The 22,751-nt window shown below is 36.7% G+C and overlaps 1 long non-coding RNA gene across 1 annotated transcript in view, besides 1 other annotated feature; it reads left to right on the top strand.

Annotated features, from left to right (window-relative positions):
* The first annotated feature begins 18,204 nt into the window (after positions 1-18,204).
* The window catches only part of LOC107985866 (uncharacterized), a 29,755-nt gene continuing 25,208 nt past the window's right edge, over positions 18,205-22,751 (top strand). The window contains exon 1 of the long non-coding RNA XR_001739400.1: positions 18,205-18,279. This is a non-coding gene — a long non-coding RNA (uncharacterized LOC107985866). The remainder of the gene's footprint in view (positions 18,280-22,751) is intronic.
* Positions 20,493-20,661: a silencer, noted in NCBI's record as "fragment chr2:35800315-35800483 (GRCh37/hg19 assembly coordinates)". NCBI's record gives its function as "represses an EF-1alpha promoter that drives an FKBP-Casp9 reporter gene in an ReSE screen in K562 erythroleukemia cells {active_cell/tissue: K562}" and the evidence as "EXISTENCE:reporter gene assay evidence [ECO:0000049][PMID:32094911]".

Genomic DNA, 22,751 nt, shown 5'->3' with positions numbered 1-22,751 from the left:
CACATACATATAAACTCCCACATTCTTTTTAGGGTTTTGAAACTGAGTATAGTGATAGTAAAACTGGCCTAATTGTCCCATAAAACCACGTTTATGATTTCTTTTGAATAAACATAGAAAATTTCCAATCTTAAAATTTATGAAAGTTACACTTGTCTTATGTGAGTTCTCTTCTCAGGAAACCAACCATAAGGCCTTCCAGATAGTATCAAGGAATTGAAACTTACCAGATTATTGCATCTGGAAAATGAGACGCAGACCCCTTAGGCATCATGGTTGCTTAACTGACGAGCTGCTTCCTATAGACCAACTCCTCTACCTTGCCCTTACCTAATTCCTTTTTTCCCATACCTGATTGCTATATAAACCCAAAATTTTAACCAGCTGACATGTATTTGAGACTGATCTCCCATCTGCTCAGCTGCAGCACCTGAATACAACCTTCTTCCCTGGCAATACTTGTTGTCTCAGTGATTGGCTTTCTATTGAGTAACCCCTGGTGTTTTGGTAACAATAGAACAAATGCATTGAGGAAGTCAAGCCTGCAAAGGTAAGAAAAGGGAAGAAGGAGCTGATATCAGCTGATACAGGTCCACAGCTGGATCTTCAGATACATGAAGAAGAAGGGAAGAAGGAAGGATAAAAAATAGCTCCTAAGCAAACAGATTAAGATATGTATAACCTTACCACAACCTCGTGGACAGAGGTCCATTGCATAGATATTAAATATAAAGCACTCAAGCTATGAAAAATCCTGGAAAGGGCATTTTCCAATTCCTAAGTATTCCAAATGTACATTATTGACCAGAGATATTGGATAGCATATATGTTTTGAATTTTTAGTGCTGGAAAGTTGTGATTTTGTGGACCACTGCTTAGTGCACCAATAATAAAGTTCTCCTTGTGGAATGACTACATCTTTATACTCATCATTATGTCCTCTTCAGAATCTAGCACTTCATATTGGGAGCTCAAGAACATTAAAAAATAATGATCACATGGAAGTGAACTTTGCCAGAACCCCAAATTTACAAATTTACTTGCCCTTTTCTCTACTGTCACCTTATTTTTAGGTTTCAAATGATCATTAATAAGATAATCATGTATATTATAATAACTATATCCACCTCAGACTTTTGACAGCCTTCTAACTTTGCTCATAAGACCTTCCTTCTGACAAAATCAGTTAATGAGTGATAACTCTAACATTGTGTTCTTATTGAGAAAATTGCCTCAAATATTTATAGCAAATGCCAGCTTTTTGGGAAATAGTGGAAGAGTAATAATATTGCTACTACCAATAATCATATTGATAAAAATAATTTTGAGTCCATTCTATATAAGTTATGTACAATTATAAGGGTTTTGCCCATGCTAATACAACTCAGTTTTCCAAGCGTCTGAGGACAGTAACATTATTACCCCCATTTTACAAATGTACATGAGAAATAATTGTTGTATACATGGACTCCTTAACACCTCAGGTTGTTTTCTTTGCTTCTTGCCTTTACTACATGCCAAGTGATGGTGAAGAATAGATAGCCATTTCATCTTTTCAAAAATAATCTTTTCAGGCTGAGTGCTACTGCTTTCACGCCTGTAATACCAGCACTTTGGGATGCCGAGACAGGATTGTTTGAGCCCGAGAGTTCAAGACCAGCCTGGCCAACATAGTAAGACCTCTTCTCTACAAAAAAAAAAAAAAAAAAAAAAAAAAAAAAAAAAAAAAAAAAAAAATTTAGAACATTATCTGAGTGCTACATTGCTACATGCCTGTAGTCACAGCTACTCTGGAGGCTGAGGTGGGAGGATTGCTTGAGCCTAGGAGACTGAGGCTGTGGTGAGCCACAGATGCACCACTGCATTTAAGCCTGGGCAACAGAGTGAGATCCTGTCCCAAAATAAAATAACATAAAATAAAAATAACCTTTTTATTTTGAAATGGTTTCAGATTCACGGAAACGTGGTGAGAAAGGTCACATATATTTCATATACAGTTTTCCTTACTGTTAACATCTCACATTAGTATGGCACAACTGTCACATATAATGGACCAATATTGATGCATTATTATGAACTACAGTTCATATTTGATTCGAATTTCCTTAATTTTCGCCTAAAGTCTCTTTCCTATCGAAGGATCCCATTCAGGATTCCATACTTCATGTAGTCTGCATGCCTCCTTAGGCTCCTTGAAACTGTGACTGTTTCCCAGCCTTTCTTTTTTTCTTTTTTTTTAAATGAACTTGACAATTTAGAAGAGCATGGTCAGGTATTTTGAAGAATGTAGAACGTCTTATGGATTTTGCCTGGTGTTTTTCTCATGATTAGACTGGCATGATGGATTTTTGGAAGGAATGCCATAAAGTGACATTCTTATCATATCATTATCAAACATATGTACTATAAATATGATTTATCACTGGTTATGTGGGCCATGATTGTCTGGCTGTGGAATTATTTGTCAGTTTTCTCCCCTCTAAAGGTACTCTTTTTGGCCTTTCTCTATTCTCCTCTTTGAAATGAAGTCACTGTGGCATCCTGTAGTCAAGAAGTTGGGGCTATATGCCATCTTCTTGAACTAGGAGTATACACATACTTTTAATTTTGGAACTCTTCATGGAAGATTTGTCTATTATCTGCTATTTATTTATTTATTTACTTATTCAATTGTCTATTTATATTAGTATGAACTCATGGATATTTATTTCATATTTTGGCTTATATTCCCATACTAGCCATGATTTATTTTTTGGCTCAAATTATTCCAGCTTTGGGCATTGGGAGCTCTTTCACAGTTGGCTCCTGTGTTCATTTGGCATACAGTACTTTCACTGTTGTGTGTTTAAGGTCCACTTTTGAAAAGAGAGGGCACTTTATATAGTCTCTCAATTTTTATATCTCTATATAGAAGATAATTTTAGATTATCTGTGTTTTCTATGTCAATAAAGAGCAATGCACAAAGAAGTACTTAAGCTGAATTAATATTTACCTTCCTCTGATGCCTACTATGAGCATTTGAATGCTGGGTTATGTTATTTTTTCATTAGACCTCACAGTGTGTGCATTTTATAAGTAAATAAATACTTAATGCTTGAACCTGACAGTCTTTGCCTGCTATATTTTTAAAAAGTGTGAATTTAATAGAAGGAAACCTTAGTTACATTACCTTATATAGCAAAGAAATTTGCCATTGTCTAATACTTGGTTAAACTCCCATCACAATAATCTTTATAATGCATCATTTGAAGAGAATTTTGAAGTATGCATGATTTAAGCATAAACTATTGTATGATAATAGATGTTCCCTTTGATACCACCGAATTTCATTTCAGACTGTATTTATTATCATCTACTTATTATATTTTGCCATCAGAAATTGTATTTTCACATCTATTTTTATCAGTTCTAGTGTGTTGTTTATAATGTATTTGCAATAAAATCTCAAATTAAAATATATTTTTGTGAAATTAAGCACAATTTAACAGTGGAACAAAATATTATTTGTTAAAAATTATCACACTGTTGAAATCCAGAATATTCTGACTGTACTTTTTGATCACACAGTTTTTTACCATAGTATTTTGATCTTAAGAAGGTTTGTATACCAAATGTTTAAAGTAAAACAGTAACAACATGAGTGCCTTTTCATTGTGAAGCATTTTCTGGAGTAATAGTCATTTGATTCACTTAATTTTTTTTTATTAATCCTCTCTATAATGCTTTTAAGAACTTTTCAGGATCATATGGCAGGCAGGCCCAAAACATCTTGACTCTTGTTATTCATTTAACAACTATTTAATGAATTTTATGTTCCATGCAAAGTTACGTTTCCATGGGATACAGCAGTAAACAAACCAGTGACAGTGCTTATCTTATGACACTTGAATATTCTCTATACAGTGCTGCTCATCAGAATTACAATGTTGGCCACAAATATGAGCCAAATATGCAATTTTGTATTTTCTAGTAGCCATGTTTAAAAAAAAGGTGAAATTAACTGTAATATTTCTATTTAGTCCAATATATCCAAAACATTACTTCTGTAATAACAGAGGTAGTTAATAAATACATTTTTTTTTTTTTTTTTTTTTGAGACAGGAGTCTCGCTCTGTCGCCCAGGCTGGAGTGCAGTGGCGGGATCTCGGCTCACTGCAAGCTCCGCCTCCCGGGTTCACGCCATTCTCCTGCCTCAGCCTCCCAAGTAGCTGGGACTACAGGCGCCTGCCACTACGCCCGGCTAATTTTTTGTATTTTTAGTAGAGACGGGGTTTCACCGTTTTAGCCGGGATGGTCTCGATCTCCTGACCTCGTGATCCGCCCGCCTCGGCCTCCCAAAGTGCTGGGATTACAGGCGTGAGCCACCGCGCCCGGCCAATAAATACATTTTTATTCTTCTTTTTTATATTAAGTTTTTGAGATCTGGTGTGTGTTTTACACTTATAGCACGTTTCAATTTAAACCAGACACTGTTAAAGTGCTTACCAGCTACATATGGCTGGTGGCTATTTTATTAGTCAACATATTTCTATGCTATGAACACCACAATCCTGGATAATTTTAGGGTAATTTAATTTAAGCTTGGAAGATTTGAAAGTGGTTATCCTTTATTCCAAACCATAACAGAATCTGAAGCACAAATGTGAATTTCTTATATTCTAACAGAAGGTTTTATAAAATTCTTCAAACATGAAATATTTTTAAAATGAGAGTAGGAGAACATATATTACACATTTTTATAATATCTGAACACCAATGGTATCATTTCCAATTTATTAAGGAAATAAAATATAACAATTTACTTAGCATTGCTCACAGAAACTGCGCAGAAACAGAGCTAGTTTTGAAGGTTCTCATGTATGAATTTCATTGATAATTGATTAGGTTGGCGAACAATCCCATAAATGGGTTATTTATCCGGGTATTTCTTCCCTCTCACTGACTGTACTATTTTTATTTCAGGATTTTGTTATTCCTTCTTTATTGGTTTCTGAATCACTCAAATACTCTTATCTCCTTGGACTGTATCTTTTATCTACTGCTTCAACAAGGTGAATGGTTTAGTGATTACTAAAACTTTTTCAAAACTTTGATTCTTAGCTCAATATCTCATGTTTTTCATGCAACTTCTATTTTTTTATTGGTGGGAGAATTCGAGGGAGTCAGTGATGGTTAAAAAACTCAGGACAATTAGGAGAGGTAGGGCAAGGGCCCATAAGAAGAAAATTTGGCCAAAGTGTTTTGACCACAATTCTTACTGTCAAAGTTTATGTTATCTTCACTGACATACTTCTTTCAATTACAGCAGGGCTGTTCCTGGTCTGTTCCCAAACCTCCGTATATTATTAGAGACAACTAGTAAAAGCAGATTTCTCCTTAAATGTTGAGTTAATGTATATGTGCCTTCAAAAGTGATTACATAAATAAATAAGACAAACTTTTGCTGCCTAATGAACATTGAATTAGTAGGTAATATTCAGAATTCAATTTGTTCAACTGTAATATGGCAATATTACATGTAAGGTGTGTGACAAATTAATGATATTTTGCCAAATCGTATCTAACACTTCCCCTATTTAAATCTGCCACTCACTGTGTGCAAAATTTCTTCTCTTCACCTTGCTTAACTACCCGATCATCAAGTCCAGGGGGATGGGGTGGTGGGGGTGAAGGTTGAGGTCCTTGGGTGGCCCTGTCTCTATTTCTAAGTGAATATAGTACTCTGAGCTTCCTTTGTGACTTTCTCCCTGTTTGTACACTTAGGAAATTAGCTCAAGATTTTCTTTCTTCATTTAAAAACACTAAGATAAAAATTACTGTATTTTATCCTTAGAACTTGAATTTAATGACTTAAAAGGAGAATAATTATCACTGGAATTCATTCCCTTTCTGCTCTACAAATGTCACATTAGCCTGAACTTCAGAACAGAGAATAATTATTTTTATTTTGCTCTGATTCTACCTAATATGTAATTAAGTTTTTCTTGTTTACTCTTAATTTTACTTCGTGATTTTATGTGTGTAATTCATTGTTAAGGATGTATTCAAAATTTAACTTTAGCTGGGAGTAGGAAAAAAAAAGACTTAAGGAAATTAGATTGTGTATGTATGTGTGTGTATAATAGTTAATTGTAAAACAGAAACAACACAAAAGAAAGAATATATTTTTCTTATACTGCTTTCATGTGTAGCATTAAATTTTATAGAAATTAATATCAGAAAGTAGTTTTCAATTATATCTTTTAAAATAGATCCCCGTATTCTAAGTCTGGTCCTTAGGAAACAGCAAAGGGAGTGTGAGATGCCCATGAACAAAGTCTGGCATTGGCCATATTAATAAGGCAAATGCAAATTTACTGGGCTGAATGGTATTTTGTAATCACATAGTTAGAACAGATTAGTAAAACATATCTGCCAGCATGGTATCTTTTACAAGTAGGAGACCTTCACGAAGCTTTTAAAGCAAAGAGTAACTTAAGAAATAACCTTTTTAGACAGAGTATGTTCTCTGAATTTTGTGCTTTCTTTTTTACAAATAAAATATAATAAAATTAATTAAATATAACATTATTTTTCTACACCTCCACATATTGAGCTATGTCTCATCTAATGTTGCATTTCTATTCACCCACCAAATCATTCACCCATCTGTTTGTATGTACATTAATTGATGAAACATTTTTGGAAGAGTTCACAGTTGCCACCATCTCTATTCATAACTAGAGGCTATAGTAGCTATGTAGAATTCTTCAGCGGATTCCGTTCATTGTAATGAAATTTGCTTGTATAGTAAACTTCTTCAGCTACAGTATTCAGATGTTAAGTTTGGATGTTAATATCAAACGAACCCATAAAAAAGTGAGTGGCTAACTTCTAGTCTCCTTGGTTCACTGGGCATTGTGATCTACATCCCCTTTTTATTATTGCCTTTCCTTCTTTTACTTATAATATCTCAATGTTTCCTCCAGTATGAAACAAAAATTACTTAGCTCCTCAAGCTCTAAAAAAATTCCTGTCTCCCCCTTAAGTGAGTGATCTCCAAGGACTTATTATCAAGACCTGTGATTTATAAAGAAGAAAGAATAACAAAATGTTCTTACATTATGGTCTTCTAAAACATCCCCACTAGCTAACATTGGTATGCCCATATACCTCCCCAAAACTTTTCTCCAATTAAAAAAATACGGTAAAAATAATTTTAGAGACATACAAAAGAATCACTGGCTGAATATCAATGTATTTACCCCTAGCATAAAACATAAAATACTACATACAAAGTTAAAACTCCTCATGAATCCTTTTTTGATACCATTACCCTCTCACCAATAGAGTGTCTTTTATGTGATTGGAGCCATTTCAAATTCAGCATAGAGGAGAAACTCATTTTCTATTGCAACACCATTTGGGTTCAATACAAATTAGAAAGCCAACAGATTTGGCCTGAAAATAGTTCTATATGTTATAATGATATTTTACTATTAGACTTACTTTGTAAAACAGAAGGCAAATGGGAGAAGGTCCCTTATGTACAGGTTTTGATGGCCCTTTACCGTCTCATGTTACTTTCAGAAAGCCATGCCTAAAGGATCCCCTCCAAGCTACTCCCCATAGAAGGCCTGTGCCCTCTCCAGGGTCTCTTCAGTCCTTCAATTATCAGGGAGTGGTCCCGTCAGTTCTCTAATGAAGAAGAATTCCAGTCCAAGGTCATTAGGTACCTCTCCCCCTTATCCAACTATCCCCAGCCTAGGCCCCACACTGCCCAAGAAATTAAGCCCAAGAAGTACCACCATGAATGGCCTCATATTAGCCCCTGAAGTCAAACCTAAATCCGTGGTGGGAGGTAGCTAATGGAAGTGAGGGAACACTTAGATTACATATGCCATTTTCTTTGTATAATTTGGCTTTATACCAGGAAAAATCTGGACAGTGTTCAGAGAATCCAGAAAAGTTTATAGAGGAGTTTGTGAAGTTGCCCATGTTCTTTGATTTAATATCTCATGACTTACAAATATTTTCATCCACTTGCTGTGCTGTGGGAAAAAAAGTAGAGGAAAAAGTGTATGGTTAAGCCAGTGAATTATGACAAGTTTAGAGAAATAACTAAGGGCAAAGAAGAAAACCTCCCTTTGTTTCAGGGATGTTTGGTGAGGCATTGAGGTAATATGCTAATGCAGACCCAGACTCCCCAGAAGGGCAAGTTCTCCTGAATGTACATTTTATTACTCGACCTGACCCTGATAGTAGGAGGAAGCCACAAAAATCAGCAATGGGACTTCAAAGCCCTATGAGCCAACTCCTAAATAGAGCCTTTAAAGTTTGCAATAGACGAAAAGCAAAAAAGGTGAAAACAAACAAAAAATGAAACCAAAGAAATACCCAAAAAGAGCAATTGTTAACAGTTGCTTTAATCCCTTCCCTCTGGGGGTTACCTGTCTTGAGAAAATGTCACAAAATCTGTGTCTGGGATGCCCAGAAAAGAGCCCTGAACTCACCAGCCCTGGGCCAGAATCAGTGTGCCTACAATGAGCAAGAGGGCCATTGACAATGAGAAAGTCCTAACTGTCCCCAGTAAGAGATGCAAAAAAAAAAAAAAAGTCTCCCCATCAATACTAGTGCTAACCTTCTTCCACTAGTTCCAATAAGCTGCCTTGTTTATTTTTACTGGGAGTCTTGGACCCTTGACCCAAGCAGCTTACTGCAGTGGCAGACAAGCAGCTGCCTGAACATTTTTCTTTGGTTTCCCCACTGCTGAGTGAGCTCTCTGGTGGCTTGGGGACTCTGGGTTCTCACCTTGAGCAATGCAATTTGCCCCCTACCTTTGTTATTTGATGCTATGGGATTCCCTTCTTTGCCTCCTCCTCTTTTCCATACATATTGGGGCAAACACAATTTGGCCAGGTAGATAAGTCCCAATTTTGTAAGTAACTTGAATCCAGTTGTCTTGTATGGGTAGTTTTATTTCATGTGTTTGTTTAGGTGTATATACAGGTATTGTGATATGTGTCGTGTCTATCATACTATCAAATTGGCTTATGGATAAAAAAAAGTGCTCATAAATTAAACAAAACTAGTCAGAGCTTATTGGTTTGAAGAGAATGTTATGTCTTAAATTTAACATTAAGATTTTTACTTAGGTAAATCACTGATATTCATAGGCTTTAAAATGGTTAAAATGGCTTTCAATGGTGACTAGCTTTGTGTGATATATTGGTTCTTAGAGGTAGTCTAGATAAAACTGTTGAAAGCGAAAGAGTTAAATACATGCGAATGGAATAGATGCTTAAATATTGAGTTTACTGTGTGGTTTAAAGTCTTAACTGTGCAATACTTTTCATCTATAGAATGACAATATCTGGTGGGCAGTTCAGGATTTCTTGCTTCCTAGATTTATATAAAATGTGCCAAAGAAATGTATTCTTTATTGAGAAAAATTGTCTAATTCAGAAGTTATTAAAGGGGAAGTTCAAAATATAAGAGAACCAGTGAGTTAGAAAGAGAGATGTAAAGAATGTTATGGATAGAAAATGCAGGGGTTTTTTTTGTTTGTTTTGATTTTTTTTTGCGAGGAAGGATATAAAGAAAGAGTAACCTTATATGAAGAGGGATATTATATAGTAAAGTTTTGTCATAGAGTAAAATGACTGCTTATTTAAGAAAGAGGTAGTATAGGCCAAGTCAGAAAGTTCAAGCATGTTGTAGATGGTCTGTGTAAGTCACGATGAGGTTCATAAGGGGAATCTATGAAAGGAATTTTGTGTATAATTAAACTTGCTAAGATTAAAGAAAATCGTTTGTAGTCGACTCTAAAAACTGGTCTCCATATCGGAATCAAATTTTCTCAAGGTATTAATTTGCTACATTACCAGAAATTTTGCTTTTCAATCCAATCCTCTGATATTTTTCAAGTTTCTCAGATTCATTTAACTCTCTGTTTTTAGCAATTTTTGTCAGCTCCTGTCTTTTCTTCCTTGATCGTAACTGCTATTGTGGCCTAATGCTACACTGTTTTGTCTTAGAGGTCTGTGGGAGCAGTGTTTTCCTTCAATATAGCTTAATTCTATGGTTTACTCTTGGTTTTTCTTTATGTGTAACTTTAATTTTAGCTTTTGGTTTTTCACTCTTATATTGCTTAGAAGGGTTTGGAGGCTGGTTGGGGCCTGCCAAACTTCATTCCTTTCAGCTAGGAGTGTGGTACTCATTCAGTCTGTTGGGGGCTATGGCCTAGTCTGGGAAAGTGGGAGTACTTCCCCCGCCTGGAAAACAAAAACTATCTGAGAACCCCCATTGGTACAGGGGAAAAATATCTCTACAGACCCAACTTGGCAGCAAAGGGTAAACATTACGCCCTGTAGGGTTTCTTTTTGTGCCACACCTGGGCTTATTTTTGTTTGTGGCAATGAATAGGAAGAAGTCATACCCTGTAACCATTCCAGTCACCTTTTGTCTTAGGACCAGCTTCCTCATATATATCAAAAACCTGAAACAGAGGTGAATGTATATTGGCCACCCTTGCCCCTCCTGGGGTCATGGTCTCTAACCTAATAAGACTCAATTATACCAGAAGTAAGCAAGGAATAGGATTAATTCTGGCAGGAATTGGGACCATGATAGGACAAACAGCACCCTGGGGTAGCTTTGTCTTCCGTGAGTCAGCCCTAAGAAAATTGACTCAAACCCTGGAAACCTTTGCCACCAACACAGGTCAGGCATTAAAGGGAATTTAAGAGTCCTTAGACTCTTTGGAAAATGTAGTCCTCAATCACAAACTAGCATTGGATTATTTACTAGTTGAACAAGGTGGAGTCTGTGCAGTTAATAAAACTTGCCGCACATATATTAACAACTCTGAGCAAGTTGAAATTAACATTAAAAAACCTGGCCGGGCATGGTGGCTCATAACTGTAATCTTTGCACTTTGGGAGCCTGAGGTGGGTGGATCACCTGAGGTCAGGAGTTTGAGACCAGCCTGACCAACCTGGTGAAACCCTGTCTCTACTAAAAAAAAAAAAAAAAAAAAAAAAAAAAAATACAAAAAATAGCTGGGTGTGGGAGCAGGCACCTGTAATCCCAGCTACTTAGGAGGCTGAGGCAGGATAATCACTTGAACCTGGGAGGTAGAGTTTGCAGTAAGCCGAAATCGCGCCATTGCACTCCAGCCTGGGTGATAGAGCAAGACTCTGTCTCAAAAAATAAAAGAAAAAAAAATTCAAAATAGCTATGAGTAACCTACCTGATTACATAGATGTAACCAGGGCACTGACCCCCAACTATCTCTGGCCAACTATCAAAGATGCCTTTGCAAGTCTCACCTGGTTTTTAACTCTCTCAGCACTTTTGACAACTATCTTATTGTTACTAATCTTTGGCCCTTGCTTGTTTAAGCTCCTAATAAAGTTTGCGTCTTCTAAATTACAACAGTTCCAGGTAAAAATAATGCTGGCACAATGCTTCTAACCTATCCCATCTACTGACCTGGAGAATAAAAGCATCCTGCCTCTTGGCACCTTAGATCAAGTAACCAGAGATTTTTACTCTTCTGGTACTAGGCAGGGCCTATGTCCATAAGCTCAGCAAGAGCAGTTACAAAAGACATACTTCTGCCCTTCTGCAGCACCATTAAGAGTAGAAGTAGGCCAGGCATGGTGGGTCACACCTGTAATCCCAGCACTTTGGGATGCTGAGGTGGGTGGATTGCCTGAGCTCAGAAATTCGAGACCAGTCTGGACAACATGGCAAGACCCCATCTCTACCAAAAATACAAAAAATTGACCAGGCATGGTCACACATGCCTATGGTCCCAGCTACTCAGGAGGCTGAGGTGGGACCATCGCTTGATCCTGGGAGATGGAGGTTGCAGTAAGCGGAGACTGTGCCATTGCACTTCAACCTAGGTGACAGAGTGAGACCTCTGTCTCAAAAAAAAAAAAAAAAAGATTAGAAGGAGTATCTAATCTCTGAGAGGGGAATGAGGTAGGAAACAGGAGGCAGGACTTGACTCATTCACACTGGTTTAAAGATTCTTAATGCCTTGTCATAGCATTAAACACATTCCTTATATTATAAAATATATTAGATTATATAAATACATAGGTAATATACTTCTGTGACTACTGAGGCATAGTGTTTCTGCAACTTGTTCAAAGTTTTGCATATATCACAGAGGGAGCCAGATACTAAACTTAGTTTTTCCTTTATTTGCAGCATTATGACATTATTATATTATAATCTCTTGTATGCTATTTTGTCAAATGTGGTCTTTGACAGTGTTCATTACTATTAGTCTCTCTCCCCATTCATGAACATAAAATTTGTGATGAGAATTCATTACATTTGGCCCCAAGAAATCAATGGACTTCCATGTTGGCTGTGCACATCTGCATAATTTTTTTCTGCTTTGTGGTTTAGATGAAGTTAGCTATGCAGTTCGAGTTATGCAAGAGATGTTTGAATTAGTAATGGTGATAAGAGATGGGCATCAAATAGACTGGAGGCCAAAATGGGCATTGTGGCAGGCATTCATTTGTGAAGATGTTAAACTGTGCATTTGGAGAACCAGTGCCCTCGGGAGAACTGACAAAGGCAGGAGTGGAGAGTTCCTGGTGATTTAGAAGGAGCAATGCTAAGATTTGCTGGTAAATTGTTAGAAAATAAAACATTTATAATCAAGAATTGGGATTAGTATTTGACTTAAGCTTTGGTTTAGGGTTCAAGTTTTGGCCTAAATTACTATAATCCAATATTTTGTGCCCAGTGATCTAGGAAGATAGCAGTTCTCTTGATGAGAGGCAGCAGAATGTAAAAATTCAAAGCACTTGCTCTAAAGCTCAAGCTTCCTGGGTTCAAATTTTGCCTTTACTACTTTCCAGCTACGTGATCCCGCTTAAGTTATTTTCTGTACTTCATGTTCCTTATCAGTAATTGGACATAATCGTATTTCAACATCACAGGGTTTTGATTACTGAGGATTATTCAAAATTGCTAAGCATGAAAACTGCTTAGCAGAGTGTGTATATAATGAACGGTATAAGTGTATTATGATTCTCATCATTATCAGTGATAGAGAATATATGATAAATCAGCACTTTCAGATATCTTCTAATAAACCATTTTCCTGAGAGTGTATTTTAATCTAGGTCAGGGTACCTGAAAAATAGTTTTATTATTAAACTGTCTAGAGAATTAAACAACAATTTGGTCTCTGAGTGAAAAAATTACGAATATTCTGTGAAACAAAAGGAGATTTTCTTTGAAATGGCAGATATTCAACATCAGGAAACACATTGCAGCTGGAACATGATGAGAGAAATAAAAACAGAGTAGTGACGAGAACTAGGTCAGCACATGCCAGAGAAGCCCCTACAACCAACTATGGATTTTTAGTCTGTTGTTCTATTTGGGGCTCTTTTTGCCTGGCTTTTTCTAATACATTCACAGAGGCTACCTTGACTAAGTTGAAATCATTTAATGTAAAACTGTTGTAAGTTTTTAAAGTGACTTGTCAATGCTGTTATATTTAATGACTCTACATTCCCTGGAATGGCATAAGCCTCAGGTTCCTTGTGTTTTTGACTTGTTTCTGATTCATAATGGCAGTTGGTACAACAGTGAACCTGGTATCAGAATATTTTATTGTTTTATTAAAAATTTTCTTGTAATAATAGACATTATTTTATTATACATATGTGTATTATATAATTTGTCTCTTATTGAAAGATATATGTGTTATAATTTTATATTATTACAATTATATATGTAATATTATATTTGTATTATATTTACATATGATCATCTTCTTTCCCACCTAACAACTGTAAGAAGCATGTATAATAAGGACCAATTGCTACATCACCTATTTCCTTCCCTCAATTTGGGCAATAGAAAAATAAAATAAACAAAACAACAACATCAATATTTACCATTAAAAAACAAGTATCTATTTTTTAAAAATTAATATGTTTCTTTGGAACTTATCTACCCAAACAGCCTAAGAAAGATTGATTTAAATTAAGTAATCATAGTTGCCCTTTTGAAATTATGTCAGTAGGCTTATTAAGCATTATGTACACAAGGAAACAATTGGAAACAAATTAAATACCCCAAAACAGATAACTGATAAACTATATGATGGTAGGTTCATATGTACAGAATCCTTAAAAGTCATAGTTAAAGAGAATATTCAATGGCATAGAGGAATACTTCTACATTACATTTTAAAAATCCAGAAAGTCAAATCTCTGTACCACACAGTTTGTCTTCCCTACCCGACATGTGCACACCCCCCTCCTTTTGTGTATACACAAAAATATATGCTCATACAGATTTCACATTCTTAGAAAAAAGACTGGAATGATATCACTCAGAGAGTAACAGTGCTTATCATTTGACTGTGGGATGATAGATCGTTTTAAATTTTGAATCTGTCTTTTTTTCTATTGTTCCCCACAGGATGTGCATGATTTTATAATGCATTATAAGATCTGTAGTGCATTTTTTCCCCAGTGGATGTGTATTATTTTCTCATTTTATAATGAGAAAAAATGTTATTTTTTAGTAAAAAAAAAAAAAAAAAATCAAGGTCTCCTAGTATTTAAAACCTTTTCTAGGTGAAAAATTCAGATGAGGTTTATATCCTAAAGAATCATCCAATCTACCAGAGAACTGAAATAGCTCAAAGTGTGATGAGCTTTTATAATACATAAAAACAGCATGGGGTAGAACTACAGCAGAATACTTAATATAGTTGTGAAAGAAAGCCCTCCCTGTGGAATAGATATTTGCATTGAGGCCCAAAAGATAAGTGTGGGTAGGATTATTTTGTGTGGAGAGAAAAAGCTAGTATGAATGCTCTGGGAGCATACTTTCGCCTGCAGAATTACATGGGTAAAGGCCCATAGTGGGAGAAAGGATGACACATGAAAAGAACTGAACTAGGAGCGAGGGAGAGAGGAAAGCTTTTCTAATATGAGAATGGACATGTCAGTGGGAGTCCAGATGTGGTGGCCCACACCTGTAATCCCAGCACTTTGGGAGGCAGAGGCAGTTGGATTACTTGAGGTCGGGAGTTCGAGACCAGCCTGGCCAACATGGTGAAACCCTGTCTCTACTAAAAATACAAAAATTAGCTGGGTGTGGTGGCACGTGCTTGTAATCTCAGCTACCTGGGAGGCTGAGGCAGGAGGATCACTTCAACCCGGGAGGTGGAGGTTGCAGTGAGCTGAGATTGTGCCACTGTACTCCAGCCTTGGTGACACAGTGAGACTGTCTCAAAAAAAGAAAGACATGTTGGCAGGTGCCAGATCCTGGAGGAGCTGTACGCTTATTAATTGTATTGGACTTACACACCAAGGGCTAAAAAAAAAACAAAAACAAAAAGTTTAAAAAGCATGAAATAAGCAAGTCTGCAATTCTAATTGACCACATTGACTATGAGCAGATAACAAAACAAAGAAGACAAGAGTTAAATCTGAGAAACCAGTTAAAAGATTATTTCAGACCCAGGAAGAAAAACTAATGACTTGAATTAAGGAAATAGTAACAAGGGATAGATAAAAGGAAAAATTAAGAGAAACTTAGTAGTTTACCTTGAAAGGCTTAGGACAGATCTAGATGGTGGTATGAGGAAGAAAGAGGAGTCAACAGTGGTTTCCAGAATATTGGTATGAACATTGAGAAATAAACACAGTCCTTGTAACAACAATCTCAATATAAAAGGAAGAAAAATTTTATTAAGCTACTATCATAAGTAGGCAGTCGAGTTTCACATAATTTCCAGAACCACAATACAAATGAGCTCCAAATTGTAATCCAGGGCAAATTACGATATTGAAACCAGCCCGATTGTCTGGTAGAACTGATGTTTATGGTTTCTTTTGAACAAACATAGACACTTCGAAGTCCTAAAATGTAAGAAAGTTGCATTTTGTAAATCTTAGTTCCTTTCTCAGGAAACCAATCATCAGGCCCCTCAGATAGCATCAAGGAGTTGAAATTTACCAGATCACCGCATCTAGATAAGGAAACATCAAGACTCCTCTCTCATCAAGATTGCCTAACTGACCATCTACTACCTGAAGACCAACTCCTCTCTCTTACCCCTCCCTAATTTATGTTCACATACATGTAGTTACCTTCTTTCCTCACTGGATAAACCCCCAATTTTGGTTGGTCAAGGGGATGAATTTGAGACAGATCTCCCATCTCCTCAGCTGCAGCACCTAATTAGAACCTTCTTCCCCAGCAATACTCATTGTCTCAGTGATTGGCTTTCTGTGTGGTAAGCATCAGGTCCTAGATGGAACCCCTGGTGTTTTGGTAACAATATTCAAGCGACTCAGATCAATTTAGTCAAACCTAAACACTGTTTGAGTGTTGTAACATTCACCCATTATCTAATGAGTTTCAATACAATTAAGTTTGGCAAAACACCCTTTTGGTTTCCATGATTATCTCAGTTCCAGAGCTCCTTAAAGAGTCAGCTAAGGCCTTTGCTGTGATTGCATGCATTTCAGCTTCTCCCTCTGCCCAATCTTGCCTCCTTCACTCTTTCCACAGGTGTTAATTCTGAAAGCTCTCCTCAGTACATTTACTTCAGGCAAATCTCCATTTCAAAGTCTGCTTCCTGGGGAAACCAAAGTGTGGCATCATTTCAGCAAAGCCTCATTTTCTGTCCTTTCCATCTATGATACTGGCAATATTTCTTAAGCATATATCTGTGATTTTGCAGCTTATATTCCGGTATTTAAAAACACTGGACTTTAGAAATTTAGTTGCATATGCTGACCTTTCTTCAGAAGTTAATGGTGGCCCTATAAAATTGGTATTAAGGATTAACACACTTTTGAACAGTTAATTCTTTATAGTTTTGGCTTTAACTATTAAATCTTGTTAATGGTCTTTGGGCAATTTTGATAATACTCAAATCTTATTGGTGAAGTCAAATATGGTTTAAAAACAGGAATAACTATATGCCAGTCTTCAGACAAGCTTTCCGTTATGGTGGTAATTATGTCAAAAGTCATATTGTCTAGCACTGCAGCTATGTGTAAATTAACACCTAGTTTTATAAATTAAGTGTCTCTTGAAATTAGAAAATCTCAAAACAAGGACTGCTGAAGGTAATGCAGTAGTGGAAGAGAGGCTAATTATAGAGGCTTTAAAAAAATCCTGTTTGCAAACCAATGTGGCACCTGCTTTAGCTTCGACTTCTCATTCCCTAAAAGGCAACCATGGACCTCCAGCTGTGTGTTTATATTTGATGTCAGGAAAACTGCTGGAAACTGGCAAGAGAAAAGCTATGTTCATCTCTGAAAAGAAGAGATATCCATGTCTCACAGGGCTGTGAGAGGGTGAAGCATTATTTGAGGGAAACAACACTAGAAAAATATAATGTTATATTTTGCATCTTTGTGCTTCAGATGCAAATGCTTTGGGAAGGAAAAATAAAATGGGAGGTGTTAAAAATGGATAGATTAGGTAACGTGAAAAATGGCTTTCTGAATTAAACTTTTAGGTTTAATTCATAAAATGAGACATACTGGAGACGTAGTGTTGGCTGCTAACTTAAGGGTCCTACCATTCTGTAGCCGTGTGTTGAGCAAAAGACAGATTTTGTTTTACTTGTTCTGCAGAATATTGACTGCACTGACATGCACAGATGGGCAATAGATGATTACCATTTGATGAGTGCTGCTAAGTGTCTGCAACTGGGCTTCCAGGTTTGTCTTTAACATGGCCTGAAGGGCAAAATGTGATCGTAGATTCATCTATGCTCATTGTTCTTGTTTGTATGGGAGGGGGCTCCTGTATCAGACAGATAATAACTTGAAAAAGTGAATAAGAAATATTCACTAAGAATAAATTGCTTTCAGTGAGTCTCCGGAAACTTTAATTTTTACCATAAAGTATTTTAATAGTTTTTCTGTATATATAGCAGGCTACATCCTTTCTACCAACTTCCTCAAAATGGAGACATAAAAACAGAAACAACATCAAGGAATGTATAAAACCTCAAAATATATATTTTGTAAAAAGACAACAAAAACATTAAACATAGTGAAACCAGGTAAAATATGAAAGAAATACCCAGAACGTCATCTAAGCAAGCATTTGTTTCAAATGTGCAGGGCATGAACTATCATATGACGTTGAATGGAAGCAAAATGTGCATAACTCATTGAAAAAATATTTGTTTTCTTCCTAGGACAGTTGAAATTGAGAAACAGCCCTGGCTGTCCAAGATTAATTTTTATACTGAGCCGTAAAGCTGACAAAAACTGCTGGTGTGTATGAATTCATTTTCAGATCTAAAACAGAAACCTGAGACATTTCACGATGTCATGCTTCATGCTGAGTACATTTGAGAAACAAAGCTTTTATATGATCTAAAATTCTCATTGTTATATAATGTCTGCAATTATTTTAATAGTTCTTAGTTGTTTTTCATTTTTCTTTCAGAGTTTTAATTATTATTAAGTTATTGGACTAAATCCCTGTAAAGCATGTTACTGTGTGTAACAGATAAAGACACTGAGTCTCAATCATACTGAATATTTTCCCCCAGGAATGAGAACAAGTCTCCTGCAAATCGAAAAATGAATTTATAGCCTTTAACATCATCGCTTGCTGAGCTTATGTACTTTCTATCTGCATGAAGAAAGGTTGATGTCATTACAGTAAAATTTGTAATTTTGAGAAAGTTTGTTTCTCACTTATCCTTTCACATATTTGTTTCTTTTTTATTCTCAGTACATAGTATTATTTATCAATTTAGATTCCTTAGGAGACCCAGACCAAGAAATATATATTTTTTCTACAGATACACATATCTGTATCTAGACAGATAGAGATATATAGATATATATATATCAGTATATATATACAGATATATATGTGTGTGTATATATATAGATACAGATTTATATGTTTATATACATATGTATCTATCTATATAACTGTCGAAAAAGGTAACCAAAGACAAGCAATTCACATATTTTGGGAACTCTGGTGTTTTAAGGGCTCCAAAAGAACAAAGTGATTTTGGAGCCGATTATCATCTTTATCCTAAATATCTGTGATTGAAATTTCATTTTATTCTTGGTGGGTAAAAACAAACAAAAACAGCTGATGTCTATGTCAGCCAGAGTATTACATTCTTTACATCTATATTTACTTATTCATTCATTTATTTAGTTAACATTTATTGAAAGTATTTTGTCATGAATGATTTATCGCTCTATGGGAGAGAAAGACCATAAAGAAAAATTATATAACAAATACCGAGGCAGAGCACAGTGGCTCATGTCTTTAAAAATCAATACTAGCACCTGTAATCCCAGCATTTTGGGAGGCTGAGGAGGGAGGATCACCTGAGGTTAGGAGTTTAAGACCAGCCTGGCCAACATGGTGAAACCCTGTCCTACTAAATATACAAAAATTAGCTGGGCATGGTGGCATGCACCTGCAGTCCCAGCTACTCCGAAGGCTGAGGCAGGAGAATTGCTTGAACCTGGGAGATGGAGGTTGCAGTTAGCCGAGATTGTGCCACTACCCTCTAGCCTGAGCAAGAGAGCAAGACTCTGTCTCAAAAAACAAAAACAAAAACAAAAACAAACAAAAAAAAACACAACTATATTAATACATAATATCCTTTAGGGCATCAGGGAGCATGTTAACTAGAACTCTGACTGTAAGAAAGAGAACATCAATATGGCTGACTAGAAGCATTCAGCACTCACCTCCTAAAAAAAAAAAAAAGAACTAAAACAGAAAATAGATAACTGCACATCAAATAGAGCTTCTAAAAGGAGAACACTGGAATTCAGCAAGGAAAGAAAAAACCCTCTGAGACACGTAAACTCGAAACGGCAGCATAGAGAAGGAAATGAAGCAACTAGCCTGGGTCACCCTGCCTTTAGAGGGACTCTCCATTTCAGGGATAAGGTAAGTGGGAGATCCCCAGCAGTCCACAATCCCACCACAGACACCTGCAATTCTAGCTACAGAAAAGCCTCTGAGGCCTCACAGGCCCTAGGTTTGTAAAGAGAGCTGCCTGGAGTCCATCTGACTGTACTATTCTAGAGTGGGAATTTTTGTTGGATACCCCCACACCCTATGGCCCAGGCTGCAGCATGGTGACATGTTGAGAGCAAGGCTACCCCCAGAGTACATTCTGTTCTGGGACAAACAGCCCTTGAACCTCCATATCCCTGAGGCCCTGCTGACATTCCCCCACATCCACCCAAAGTGCTGCAGCATCCTGATATCAGCTAGACCTGGGGTTGAAGCCACATCTCTGGTATCTAAACCCATGCAGCATCCTACACCCTGAGGAACAGGTACCTGAGAATATCAAAGTGGCTGCCCTCAGAACACAGGGAGCCAATGCACGTGCTCCCCAGAGACTGAGAGCTGCTTACCTGGGGCTGCAGCTGCTGAAAGCAATTCCAGTGCCTCCAGCAGTGGGATCACCATGTGCCTGAATGCACTCCTCAGTGGCTTGAAGACCAACCCTCGGGTCCTGCTGCTGCCATGGCCATTGTGGGCACACACCACCCAGGGTCCCAAGGACTGGCCCACTGCTGACAGCAGCAGTGCTTGCACATATCCTACAGATCAGCCTGCCTGTAGCCCAATTTGCCAACATCAGTGGCTATGCACACTGTTCAGGAGCCTGAAGATCAGCCCATGTAGGGCCCATTGCCACCACCACTGGCACCCACGTGCACTTCCTAAGAGCTTGAAACCACCCTACCTGGGGCCTGCTGCCACCATAGCTGGTGTCCATGTGCACCCCTCAAGTGGCCTAGGACCAGCATGTTGCTGCCACCACTGGCACACGACTATGCTATCCCAGGGCCAAAAAACCAGCTTACTTGAGACTGGGCACTGTTGGTGCCTGCCAACCAGGGGCCTAAAGATCAGGCCACTTGGGCCTGCCACTGCTACCTCTAACAAATTTATCCCTCCAACACTGGGGCCACTGCCCACCCATGTGCACCCTCAGGGATCTAGCATTTCTCTTGCAGCAAGTCATGCCACTGCCTCCAGAAACAATAGCATCCTAGGTCACTGAGTAACACAGAGACACAACTGACATTGATGATAGACTCAGAATTTCTATAGAGACTACATTACTGTGCACATCCAGAACCAAAGCCAAAATACCCTACCCAACTGACACTATAGACAAATCTACAAGAAAAAGCCTTTTCCTACAAAAGCTGCTGTATAAACTTTAAAGAGGTGACTATTCAACTAGATTCACAGACGTTAATGTAGGAAACCAAGAAACATGAAAAAGCAAGGAAACATGAAAACTCCAGGGGAACAAAATATTGTCCAGTAACAGACACCAGTGATCTTAAGGAAACTCAGTGAGATACATGAGAACATACATAGACCTCAAATAAATTAGGAAAACAATTCATGATCAGAATGAGAAATTTAACAAAGAAATAGATTGCACAAATAAATATCCAAACAGAAATCTTAGAACTGGAGAATTGAAAAAATAAAATATAAAAAATATAATTGATAGCTTAAATGATAGAGTCATTCAGTCAGAAGAAATAATTACCGAACTGGAAGACAGGCCTTTTGAAACAACACAGTTAGACAAAAAGAAAAAAAAAACAAATAAATATTTTTAAAATGAGGAAAGCCTATGTGTTACATGGGACAACATTAAGCAAACAAATATTTGCATTTTGACAATTTTAGAAGGCAAAGAGATAAAAAATAAAACATAGAAAACTTATTTAGTGAAGTAATAGCTGAAACTGTTCCAAGTCTTGGGAGAGATCTAGACATCCAGAAACAAGAAGCTTAAAGATCCTCAAATAGATTCAACCCAAAAGTCCTGTTTGAGGCACTGTGAAGTCAAACTGTCAAAAATCAAAGGAAGAGAGAATTAAAACAAAGAAACAAGCAAAAAAAAAAGATAAAAATGGTTGTACCACATATAAGGAGATCCTCACCAAATATAGGCCAGAAGAGAATAAGATGATAGATTCAAACTGCTGAAAAAAATAAAATTGTTAGCCAAGAATACTACATATTCCAAAGCTATCTTTCAGAAACAAACAAGAAATAAAGTTTCTCACAGTTATGCAAAACCTGAGAAATGATTACCACTACAATGTTCCTACAGAAAAAATGTTTAAGGCAGTCCTACATTGGGAAGTAAAAGGATGATATCTACCATCATGAAAACACATGAAACTATAAAACCCACTGGTAGACCAGATACACAAAAGAGAAAGAGAAATAAAACCAACATCATTACTACAGAAAACCACCAAATGCAAAGATAACCAATAAGAGAGGAAGAAACAAAGAATAAATATAAAATATCAGAAAAAATTAAGAAAATGACAGGAGTAAGTCTCCACCTATCAATAATAATGTTTAATGTAAATGGTTGAAATTTTTAATTGAAAAGTATAGATTGGCTAAATGAATAAAACTATAAGAACCAACTATATGCTGTGTATAAGAAACTCACTGTACAATTAAAGACACATGACTAAAAATGAAACATAAAAAGATATTCCACACAAAAAGAAAGCAAAAGCATGCAGGAGTACAAATATTTATGTCAGACAAAATAGATTTTAATTCAAAGAACAAGGGAGACAAAGAAGGTCATTACATAATGATAAGGGGATTGATTCAGCGAGAAGATATGACAACTATAAATATGTATGCAACTAATCCCAGACCACCCAGATATATAAAGCAAAAATTATTACAG

Source organism: Homo sapiens, chromosome 2 (assembly GCF_000001405.40).
Source record: "Homo sapiens chromosome 2, GRCh38.p14 Primary Assembly".
Classification (NCBI taxonomy): Eukaryota; Metazoa; Chordata; class Mammalia; order Primates; family Hominidae; genus Homo; species Homo sapiens.
Note: the sequence above shows the minus strand (reverse complement) of the source record. Positions and strands in the feature narration are given on the sequence as shown.